This window comes from Homo sapiens, chromosome 18 (genome assembly GCF_000001405.40).
Source record: "Homo sapiens chromosome 18, GRCh38.p14 Primary Assembly".
Classification (NCBI taxonomy): domain Eukaryota; kingdom Metazoa; phylum Chordata; class Mammalia; order Primates; family Hominidae; genus Homo; species Homo sapiens.
The window spans coordinates 79,063,395-79,075,849 of record NC_000018.10 but is presented as its reverse complement, the minus strand read 5'-3'; the positions used below and the strand labels follow the sequence as shown (position 1 = coordinate 79,075,849).

At 47.8% G+C, this 12,455-nt stretch overlaps 1 protein-coding gene and 1 long non-coding RNA gene across 28 annotated transcripts in view; one reads left to right on the top strand and one right to left on the bottom strand.

Annotated features, from left to right (window-relative positions):
• The window catches only part of ATP9B (ATPase phospholipid transporting 9B (putative)), a 308,890-nt gene extending 302,434 nt beyond the window's left edge, over window positions 1–6,456 (bottom strand). For all 27 annotated transcript variants that reach the window (NR_148360.2, XM_017025726.2, XM_011525963.3 and 24 more), the window contains exon 1: window positions 6,321–6,456. Coding sequence is in view for 10 of the 27 variants with exons in the window: in XM_011525964.3 (XP_011524266.1) it covers window positions 6,321–6,439 (119 nt within the window). In the remaining 17 variants the exon portion in view is untranslated. The remainder of the gene's footprint in view (window positions 1–6,320) is intronic.
• A 5,353-nt stretch (window positions 6,457–11,809) lies between these two features.
• LOC105372225 (uncharacterized) overlaps window positions 11,810–12,455 on the top strand; it is a 62,644-nt gene continuing 61,998 nt past the window's right edge. The window contains exon 1 of the long non-coding RNA XR_001753514.2: window positions 11,810–11,880. This is a non-coding gene — a long non-coding RNA (uncharacterized LOC105372225). The remainder of the gene's footprint in view (window positions 11,881–12,455) is intronic.

Genomic DNA, 12,455 nt, shown 5'->3' with positions numbered 1-12,455 from the left:
AAAGAAAACCGAGAAACAAAAACAGAAAGCAAAAAATAAAATGGCATAAACATTACGCTGAACATAAACCTTCTAAATATATCAATCCAAAGACAGACAATGGCGGTGGGTAAAAAAAAAGAACCAACCGTATGACAACTACCAGAAAATCACTTCAAATATAAGTGACTTGAGAGAGAAAGGATGGAAAATTATATACCATGCAAACATTAATTGAAGGAAAGCAGAGGTAGCTATATTAGTGTCAGATGAAGATTTCAGAGCAGAAAAATTACCAGAGACACATGGGTGAACTACATAATGATAAAAGTGTCAATGCATCTAGAACACACAGGAATCTCAAATGTGTATGCACCAAACAACAGACCTGCAAAATATGTGAAACAACAATTGATAAAACTCTAAAAAGAGGCAGGGTGCACTGGCTCATGCTTGTAATCCCAGCACTTTGGAAGGCCGACAGAAGGCGATCACTGAGCCCAGGAGTTCAAGTCCAGTGCAACCCCATCTCTACAAAAAAAAATTAAAAAATTAGTTGGGCATGTTGGCATGTGCCTACTATCCCAGCTACTCTGGAGGCTAAAGCAGGAGGATGGCTTGAGCCCAGAAGGTCGAGGCTGTAGTGAGCGCCTGTAGTCCCAGCTACTTGAGAGGCTGAGGCAGGAGAATGGCGTGAACCTGGGAGGCAGAGCTTGCAGTGAGCCAAGACTGCACCAATGCACTCCAGCCTGGGGGACAGAGTGAGACTCCGTCTCAAAAAAAAAAAAACTCTAAAAAGAATAAACAAAGTCACAAGGGAAGATGAACTCAACAGCACCATTAACTAAAAGGTAATAATCAACATTTAACAGCAAAATAAATGTTATTTTCAAAAGCCAGAGAATAGTTACCAACATACAGGTTGAGTCACAATATCTTACTGCAAGCCTTGTAAAAGCACCACTTAACTTTATAAACTATGTGTATGTTACCACGATAAAATAAAACCCAACTTCAGAAAATAATGTAGAAGCACAACTTCTGGTCCAGACAAAATGCCACAGACCCATTTCTCTGCTCCTCCCCAGTTAAGTCCAACTATAAATCCTAGTAATTAAGCAAGAGCCAATCAAAGGAGAGTTCTGGAAGAAGGTAAGAAGGCAGCAGTGACTTCCTGAGACTCCCCTCTCCCACCAAGGGATACTGGGGCCTGAGGCTCCCCTCTCCCATCAGGGGATACCGGGGCATCTGGGCAGTAGCAGTAAGGGGAACTTGCCACTACAAGCTGCTGGCCCAGTAAGGCTCTGTGCCCCTCATGCCCGAGACTGGTCTCTCTCATTAGGGAGAGCCAGGCAGCACCGACAGGTGCAACCCCACCACATAAGGGGCCCAGTCCAGAAAACCTTTTTATCCATAACCTAAGACCTTGCTCCAAGACATCAGAGCATCGAGGTGGCACCAGCAATAGGGATTCTGCCACAGGAACCCTTTTACCATGGTGGTGCTAAGACTCCTCTTCTCCAACCCAGACACACCAGGGCAGCCACTGGGTCCATATGGATGGGATACAGCCACAGCCAGGGCCCAGCCAAAGAAGCCTCTTCATCCCCATGGGTCTGACACTTCCATCTTTTAGTAAGAGACGCCAGGCCTAGGAAAATCCACCTTTCCCTCTCACGCAGCACCAACAGAGACCAGGAAGAGCCCCAGTGATACCACATAAACCAAGCAGACCAAAGATCACAGCACAAAGGCTCTGAGAATTAAAATGTCATTTAGAACCACAGCCCACAAATGTAGCCCAGGACCTATGTGCTGAATCTAAACAGGGTGGCTGCACGCTAAAATAAAAGATATAAATAGAACCCAAATTCTCCTAATATACAAAATACCCAAGAGACAATCGAAAACCATCTGTCAAACCAAGAGCCAGAACATTCGCAATCTGAATTAGAAAAGGCAATCACATGACACCGACACTGAGCTAACTCAGATACTGGCATTAATTATATGACAAGCATTTTAAAGCAGCAGACATAAAAATGCTTCCACAATCAAATATTATCTTGAAACAAACATAAATTATAAAACTGAGAAATACAATAACAGAAATAAAACCTCACTGGATGAGATTGAGAATAGAGTGGAGATAACAGAGTAAAGAATTAGGGAATTACCCTCTCCCTTCTCCCTCTCCGTCGTCTCCGTCTCCCGCTTTCCACGGTCTCCCCCCTCCCTCGTCTCCGTCTCCCGCTTTCCACGGTCTCCCTCTGTTGCCGAGGCTGGACTGTACTGCCGCAATCTTGGCTCACTGCAACCTCCCTGCCTGATTCTCCTGCCTCAGCCTGCCGAGTGCCTGGGATTGCAGGCGCGCGCCGCCACGCCTGACTGGTTTTTGTATTTTTTGGTGGAGACGGGGTTTCTCCGTGTTGGCCAGGCTGGTCTCCGGCTCCTGACTTCGAGTGGTCTGCCCGCCTCGGCCTCCCGGGGTGCTGGGATTGCAGACGGAGTCTCGCTCACTCAGTGCTCAATGTTGCCCAGGCTGGAGTGCAGTGGGGTGATCTCGGCTCGCTACAACCTCCACTTCCCAGCCGCCTGCCTTGGCCTCCCAAAGTGCTGAGATTGCAGCCTCTGCCCAGCTGCCACCCCATCTAGGAAGTGAGGAGCGTCTCTGCCTGGCCACCCATTGTCTGGGATGTGAGGAGCCCGTCTGCCCGGCCTCCCAGTCTGGGAAGTGAGAAGCGCCTCTTCCCGGCCGCCACCCCATCTAGGAAGTGAGGAGCGTCTCCGCCTGGCGGCCCATCATCTGGGATGGGAGGAGCTCCTCTGCCCCGCCGCCCAGTCTGGGAAGTGAGGAGCGCCTCTTCCTGGCCGTCATCCCGTCTAGGAAGTGAGGAGCGTCTCTGCCCGGCCGCCCATCGTCTGGGATGTGACGAGCGCCTCTGCCCGGCCGCCCTGTCTGGGAGGTGAGGAGCATCTCTACCCAGCCGCCACCCTGTCTGGGAACTGAGGAGCGCCTCTGCCCGGCCGCCCCATCTGAGAGGTGAGGAGCCCCTCTGCCCGGCAGCCACCCCATCTGGGAGGTGAGAAGCATCTCCGCCCAGCCGCCCCGTCTGGGAGGTGGGGGGCGCCCCCGCCCAGCAGCCGCCTGGTCTGGGAGGTGGGGGGGCGCCCCCACCCGGCAGCCGCCTTGTCTCAGAGGGGTACCCAACAGCTCACTGAGAACGGGCCATGATGACGATGGCGGTTTTGTCGAACAGAAAAGGGGGAAATGTCGGGAAAAGAAAGAGAGATCAGATTGTTACTGTGTCTGTGTAGAAAGAAGTAGACATAGGAGACTCCATTTTGTTCTGTACTAAGAAAAATTCTTCTGCCTTGGGATGCCGTTAATCTATAACCTTACCCCCAACCCCGTGCTCTCTGAAACATGTGCTGTGTCAACTCCAGGTTAAATGGATTAAGGGCGGTGCAAGATGTGCTTTGTTAAACAGATGCTTGAAGGCAGCATGCTCGTTAAGAGTCATCACCACTCCCTAATCTCAAGTACCCAGGGACACAAACACTGCGGAAGGCCGCAGGGTCCTCTGCCTAGGAAAACCAGAGACCTTTGTTCACATGTTTATCTGCTGACCTTCTCTCCACTATTGTCCTATGACCCTGCCAAATCCCCCTCTCCGAGAAACACCCAAGAATGATCAATAAATACTGAAAAAAATTAAAAAAAAAAAGAATTAGGGAACTTGAGAAGAGATTAATAGAATTTACACAATCTGAACAACACAGAGAAAAGAAACAGGGAAAGAGCCTAAGGAAATTATGAAACACCAACATAAGATCCAACTTTCTTAACACTGGAAATCCAAATGGAGAGAAGAGAGTGGGAGCAACTCTCCATTATTTCAACAACAACAAAGAGTAGTTGAAGAAATAATGGCTAAAAACTCCCTAAATTTATTCGAAAACCAAAAAAAAAAAAAAAAACAAAACCAAACATGAAATCCAAAGAAATCCATGATAAGACACATCATAATTAAACTTCTGAAAACTAAAGACAAAGTAAAAACTTGAAAGCAGCCAGAGAGAAATGACACATTATCTACAGGGGAACATCAATCTGAGTGACAGCAGCATCCTAATCAGAAACCATGGACACAAGAAGGAAGCAGCACAAGATTTTTCAAGTGCTAAGAAAAGAATGGCAGGCTAGCAGCCATGGCTCACGCCTTAATCCTAACACTCTGGGAGGATGACACAGGAGGATCACTTGAGACCAGTTGGGCAATATAGCAAGATGCTGTCTCTTCAAAAAAAATTTTTTTTAATTAGCCAGGCATGGTGGTATGTGCCTATAGTCCCAGCTACATGGGTGGATTGCCTGGGCCCAACAGATCAAAGCTGTAATGAGCTACGATCGCATCACTAACTCCAGCCAGGAGAACAGAGTGAGACCCTGTCTCAAAAAAAAAAAAAAGGAAGAACAATAGAAAAAGGGGAAATATGCGTATGTGGTATATGCAATACACTATCTTTATCATCATGAGTTTTATAAACCATATTTGATGACTGACACAAAAACTGTAACACCATCTGATACCCAGGACATGATACTTAAAGTGAGGACCTAAGTGAAAGAAGGGTTTCCACACTTGACTGGAAGTGGTGAAATACAGCAATACACCATGGTGATAAGTCACATTTGTATATTGTAATACCCAGAGCAAGCACTGTAAAAACTATACCAACACCTAATCTCAAACACACTATAGGGATACCAAAAAAGTGTCCAAGTAACCCAAAAAGTGGCAAAAAAAAAAAAAAAAAGAAACAGGAATCAGAATGAGAATCAGAAGAAACAGAACACAGATAATAAATGGCACACTTATATTCTAACATATCAGTAATTATCGTAAATGTAAATGGTGTAAATATGCCAATCAAAAGAGAATGGCATAGTTGATAAAAAATATAAGATCCAACAAGAAACTCACTTCAAATTCAACATAGGTAAGTTGAAAGCTAATACCATGCAAACATTAATCCAAAAAAAAGCATAAATGGCGACATCAATATCTAATAAAGATTTTAGAGCAAAGAAAATTACCAGAGACAGAGGAACATTAACAATGAAAGGAACAATCCACCGAGATGACAAAAAATCTTGAATGTGCGTGCACCACATGACAGTGCTTCAAAGTACATGAGGCAAAAATGGATTCAATCTGTGATGGAAACCTATTTTGAAACAGGTGGCACATTTCCAACTAAAGAACTCCTAAAATTAAACAGATTTACTAACACAATTACTGTTATAGGTAACACCAGAACCCACTTCCAACCAAGCACTGAAAAAAGGGCACCTTACACATGTTCTACTGTAATCTCCAATAATCCCGTAAGAAAAAATATTATCCAGCATTTTACAGATGAGGAAACCATGGCTTGAGTTTAAATAAGTTACCCGAGAGTAAATCGCTAGTGGGTAAACACTCAAATCAGCGTTATAACATTCCAGTATGTACTTTGAGCTATATGTTAGTCTCTCAAATGGCCGAAAACAAAAATTATTCAAAAACTCAAATTCTGAAGCAACTACATATTGAGTGAAATTATGTTTTCGACAATTCCTCTGGAATAAAACTTCAAAAACTATAAGAAGCAACACTTTTTAAAATTTTCTTTTCTTTGAATGAGAAATGTTAAATATGAGCTAAATGCAATCTCGAGTATGAAAGGTCTGTACACTAATTCTACTGCTAACCTGTGACCCCACTAAACAAGTTAACCGTTCTCAATACCCCATTTCCCTTTCGTAAAAGCAAAATTACTTGTCGACAAAAAGCACTTTGTATATATATGTTTAAACAAAAAGTGTGCCTAGCAAAGATATCGAAATGTCGAAGAGAAGTCATTTCAATAAGAAGTGTGTTTTTAACAAAGCAATTAAAAGTTACATCCGTCACCTTCACAATTCACAGGGCTACAAGAACAAGTTTCGGAGACTCTGAAGTATCCGAGAAGTTAGCACTTTTGATCCCCGTTTACTTTAGGAGAGCAGCCACCCCTCAACACTGGACCGCGGTTCTCTGCTCCCGTTCTGGCTCCTACGCTCGGCCCAGGCGTCCCGGGGATGCAGCCGCTCGCCCCGGCAGCTGCCCGCGGCCCTCACCACCGGCGGACGCCACAGCTGCGGCGCGCTCAGAACGCCAAGGACTCCCGGCTCCCAGCGAACAGATGGGGCGCGCCGGTAGCGACCCCAGACCCGCCCGGCTCCGGGTTCCTGCGGTGGGCTGGGGGCCCCGGGGAGCGTCGGCGGGGAACGGGGCCAGTGCCGCCTCGGTTACCTGCTGTGCCGGTCGGCTCCCGGCCTGGGCCCCGCGGCGCTGTAGTAGGCCGCGCGTTTGCGGTTGGCTGCGGCCGCCGCTGCGCTACGCACCGGGTAAAGCGGGATCTGGTCCGCCATGTTCCGACCGCCCCTTTCCCGCCCCTCCCACTTTCCCCTCAATTCGCCACCTTTTCCCCGCCCTCTCCCCTCAGCGCCAACCCCGGCTGAGGCGCCGCCTGCGGGCCTTCCCCGCCTCCGCCAAGCGGCGAGGTCCGATGACGTAACGAGCGGCGGCGCGGAAGGTGTGGCGTCCCTAGGCCCCGCCCTCGTTTGGCGTCGGCGCACGATGACGTGCCCAGGGTGGCAAAAGCGCGGCGCAGGAGGCAGTGGAGTCCGGGCAATGACGTCACGAGTGGCTAAAGCTGGGACGGGGGGCGTCGCGTTCCGAGGCCCCGCCCCCGCCTCGTGACGGGCCCGATGACGTCACCGATCGGCGGGGCGGGGCGCGCGTGCGCCACAGGCTGGCCTTCCGGTAGCGCGCGAGGGCCTGCACGTGGGTCGTGGTTCGACCCGGCGCGCTCTGGTCCGCGGGTGGAAGGGCCTCGCAGCCGTCTCCTGGAAGCTCTGCCGGGGACACGCGTGGGCGCGCGCGGCCTCCTTAGCGGTCCAGAGCCTGCGCTGCCAGTAGTACGCGCGCCCCATGGCTGTGTGGGGCCCCACGCGCCCTCCTCGCCGCGCGGCTTCTTGCTTCCGCCCCGCGCTTCTCCAGCCTGCCTTCGGTGCCCGCTTCCTGCCCGCGCCCTTGGAACCGCTGGTGTCTGTGCGTTCACAGGCAGGGTCGTGCTACGTGGCCCGGGCCCCCAAAGCGCCGCGACTGCAGGCGCGCCCACCGCGCCGGGCTGAATTTCCGAGATGTTCTTGTCCTGCTTCCTCACTGCTGCTTCCTTCTTTCTCTGGTTCTGGGTCTTTAGCTTGATTCCACATCCCCCACCTCTAGGCCCACAGCCTGCTGAAAAGTCCTATAGGCGACTGTCAGAAACGAGGTTTACACCCTCAGTCTACACAAGAAAGCAAAACGATATTGAATAAACGAATACACGGCTTTGGTTGGGTTTGTTTCATTTCCTGTCCCGAGGACAGCTCCCTTCCACCTCCATCACCCGCTGCAGCTGGAAGCCGGCAAGCTGATGCACCGCTCACCTCACGTATTAATGGTTTACTCACTTTGTGTTTTTTTAAACAATGTTTTTCTGATATTCCATTTTCATGACATATAAATTTTGTCTATGTGTTTGAAACACTGTTCAACATGAACTTATAAATGCTTTTCTTTTCTGTTTTTTGGAGATGGGGTCTCTGTTACCCAGGCTGGAGTGTAATGTTTTGATCACGGCTCACTACATCTTCCACCTCTCAAGGTTCAGGTGATCTTCCCCCATCTGCATGTATTACTTTTTCATTATAAAAAATGGTCTTTATGAATATGAATATTCTTAATTTGTTGCTGCCACTCTGATTGCCAGTTTGCTTCTCAGCTGCTTTTCATGTAACCTGAATACATGCCACTCCACAGACACTAACTACTTTCAAAAGACGCCAATGGCCTCCTAATTGACAATGGCCTCACCCATTATTTCTCTACCTCACTCTCAGCCGCTGACACTGTTCACACCATCTCTCACCCACATTCAACAACTGATATTGATAACACCATCTCATTCTCACAGCACTGGCACTGTAACACCATCTCCTCACCCTCACTCAGTACCTGACAGTGATAACGCCGTCTCCTCACCCTCACTCAACTACTGACAGTGACAACAGCATCTTCTCACCCTCACTCAACTACTGACAGTGACAACACCATCTGACCCTCAGTCAACACCTGACAGTGACAACATCTTCTGACCCTCACTCAGCAACTGAAAGTGACAACAACATTTCTTCACCCTCACTCAACAACTGACAATGACAACACCTTCTCCTGACCCTCAACTACTGACAGGGACAACACCGTCTTCTCACCCTCACTCAATAACTGACAGCAACAACACCATCTCCTGACCCTCACTCAACTACTGACAGTAACACCATCATCTCCTGACCCTCACTCAACATCTGACAGTGACAGACCATCTCCTCTCTCTCACTCAACACCTGACAGTGATAACACCTTCTCCTCACCCTCACTCAACTTCCAACAGTGACAACAGCATCTCCTCACTGTCAGTCAACTACTGATAGTGACAACACCATCTCCTCACCCTCACTCAACACCTGAGAGTGACAACAGCATCTCCTCAGCCTCAGTCAACAACTGACAGTGTACCCTCACTCAACAACTGACAGTGACAACACCATCTCCTGACCCTCACTCAACTACTGACAGTGACAACACCGTCTCCTGTCTCCTTACCCTCACTCAACAACTGACAGTGACACCATCTCCTCACCCTCACTCAACACCTGACAGTGACAACAGCATCTCCTTACCCTCACTCAACACCTGAAAGTGACAACAGCATCTCAGCCTCATTCAAGAACTGACAGTGACAACATCTCCTCACCCTCACTCAACACCTGACAGTGACAACAGCATCTCCTCACCCTCACTCAACACCTGACAGTGACAACAGCATCTCCTCAGCCTCATTCAAGAACTGACAGTGACAACACCATCTCCTCAGCCTCACTCAACAGCTGACAGTGACAACATCATCTATACCCTCACTCAACACCTGACAGTGACAACAATATCTCCTCACCCTCTCTCAAGAACTGACAGTGGCAACACCATCTCCTCACCCTCACTCAACTACTGACAGTGACAACACCATCTCCTCACCCTCACTCAACACCTGACAGTGACACCACCATCTCCTCACCCTCACTCAAGAACTGACAGTGACATCACCATCTCCTCAGCCTCACTCAACTACTGACAGTGACAACACCATCTCCTGACCCTCACTCAGCTACTGACAGTGACAACACCATCTCCTCACCCTCATTCAACAACTGACAGTGACACCATCTCCTCACCCTCACTCAACACCTGACAGTAACAACAGCATCTCCTCACCCTCACTCAACACCTGACAGTGACAACAGCATCTCCTCACCCTCACTCAAGAACTGACAGTGACAACACCATCTCCTCAGCCTCACTCAACTGACAGTGACAACATCATCTACACCCTCACTCAACACCTGACAGTGATACCATCTCCTCACCCTCACTCAACACCTGACTGTGACAACAGCATCTCCTCACCCTCACTCAACTACTGACAGTGACAACACCATCTCCTCACCCTCACTCAACTACTGACAGTGACAACACCATCTCCTCACCCTCACTCAACAACTGACAGTGACACCATCTCCTCACCCTTAGTCAACACCTGACAGTGACAACAGCATCTCCTCACCCTCACTCAACACCTGACAGTGACAACAGCATCCCCTCACCCTCACTCAAGAACTGACAGTGACAACACTATCTCCTCAGCCTCACTCAACAACTGACAGTGACATCATCATCTACACCCTCACTCAACACCTGACAGTGAGACCATCTCCTCACTCTCACTCACCACCTGACTATGACAACAGCATCTCCTCACCCTCAGTCAGCTACTGACAGTGACAACACCATCTCCTCACCCTCACTCAACTACTGACAGTGAAAACACCATCTCCTAACACTCAGTAATTGACAGTGACAACACCGTCTCCTCACCGTCACTCAACAACTAACAGTGATAACAGCATCTCCTCACCCTCACTAATCACTGACACTGTTCATATCCTCTCCTCACCCTCACAGTTAATAACTCACACTGATAACACCATCTCCTCACCCTCACTCAATTTAATGGACTCACGGTTCCACATGGCTGGGGAGATCTCACAATCATGGCAGAAGGCAAGAGAGAGAATGAGAACCAAGCAAAAGGGGTTTCTCCTTATAAAACCATGAGATTTCATGAGACTTATTCGCTACCATAAGGACAGTATGGGGGAAACAGCCCCCATGATTCAGTTATCTCCCACTGGGTCCCTCCCACAACACATGGGAATTATGGGAGCTACAATTCAAGATGAGATTTGGGTGGGAACACAGCCAAACCATAACATTCAACAACAGGCAGTTTTCACACCATCTCCTTGTAAATTTTTTCCTCCCTTAAGGTTCAGACTAAATCAACTAGCTCTCTTCCTTTACCTACTCCGTCTCTCTTGAAAACTCCTCTTTCATCACCTACCCACTTAGGTAAATAATATTTATTTCTTTTTTCCTAATTCTAACCTCTCCTGGCTCCATTTCTGAATTGCTTATTCAGTTTCAATTACATGCAAAAGTTAACAATAGGGTTTATGGAGAATATCAGTATAACTAAGGCATAGTGTCTGCCCTCTAGGAAGTTTAGTAGGAGAGGGAGACATATAGGGAAACAGCTTGTTTTTACTTAGGACACAATGAAATACTTGCCATAAGTCCATAAGTATGAAGTTACACCAGTGGGTGTCTTTTTTTTTTTTTTTTTTTGAGACAGAGTCTCACTCTGTCATTCAGGCTGGAGTGCAGTGGCGCAATCTTGGCTCACTGCAACCTCTGCCTCCTGGGTTCAAGCGATTCTCCTGCCTCAGCCTCATAAGTAGCTGGGATTACAGGTGCCCGCCACCATGCCCGGCTAATTTTTGTATTTTTAGTAGAGACAGGATTTCGCCATGACGGCCAGGCTGGTCTCGAACTCCTGACCTCAAGTGATCCACCTGCCTCGGCCTCCCATAGTTTTGGGATTACAGGCGTGAGCCACCACACCCCTCCCCCAGTGGGTATCTTGATAGGAAAAAGATGACATACTTAAAGCGTTCAACTGAAGAGAGTTTCAGGAGCTGTTTGCAGAGGTAGGGATGGAAATAAGAAAGCCAAATATTTTTGATGAATTAACTGGGAGAAGCAATAGTGGAAAACTGGTTTCACCCCTAGACCAAAGAGATTAGATGAGGAAAATTGTTGACCCTGAATAGAATCCATCCTGAGTTGGAGCCCTGGGAGCAAGGCTACCTCAAAGAGCATGAGGCTATGGAGTAGATGCAGGCCAGCTGGCGGGCAAAAGCCACCTGCCACCCGCTTTGTAAATTAAGTGCTTTTGAAACACAATCACGCTAATCTGTTGACTTATTACCTATGGCTGCTCTCAAGCTATGATGGTAGAGTTAAGAAGATGCTACCGAGACCATATAACCTGTAAAGCCTAAAATATTTACCATCTGGTCCTTTAGAGAGAACGTTTGCACATCCCTATTCTACAGGAAAGAGTGGGTGGTGTAAGAGGGAAAGACAGGCACAGAATGGCTGTCTCACGGCAGAAGGCTCCATTGGTCAATGCCACCCTAGCGCAATCATGAAAAGAATAACAACAGAATGTTTAACTGACAAGTTAATGGAGGGAGGAAGAGGAATAATAAAAATACTTTATTACTTCAAGGAAGCTGTGAAAGAAGTTTAAAGAAAAAAGAACAGATGGAATAAGCAGGAAGCAAAGAAGATGGTAGAGACAAACCCGAAGGTCAGTTTATGTATATTAAATGTAAACAGACTAAATACCTCAATAAAAAGTCAGATTGTCAGATTGCATTAAAAATAAAACCCAACTGGGTGCGGTGGCTTACACCTGTAATCCCAACACTTGGGGAGGCTGAGGCGGGCAGATGGCTAGAGGCTGGGAGTTTGAGACCAGCCTGGGCAACATGGCAAAACTCCGTCTCTAATTGAAACAAAAACAAAAAGAGAAAAGAAAAAAAAAAACAACTATATGCTTGACGTCTCAGAGATCTCACATTAAATAGAAAGACCCAGAAAAGTTGAAAGTAAAAGCATAGAAAAATATACGCCATGCAACCATTGATTATAGTAGCCTCCCTGTGAGGTAAGCTCTGTGAGTATCCTTCACCTTTCCCCAGATGAGGAGCCTGGAGCACAGAGGAGTTAGGCAATCTGCCCGAGGTCACAGTGCTCACAGCTGCAGAGTCAGGCTTCAACCCAGGTGCCAAAGGCCATACCCTTAACCTCTAACCTCAAGTTGCCACCTGAGTTTTGGGAAGATGATACTGATGGCTAGAATGCGAAAGTAAGGCAAAAAGG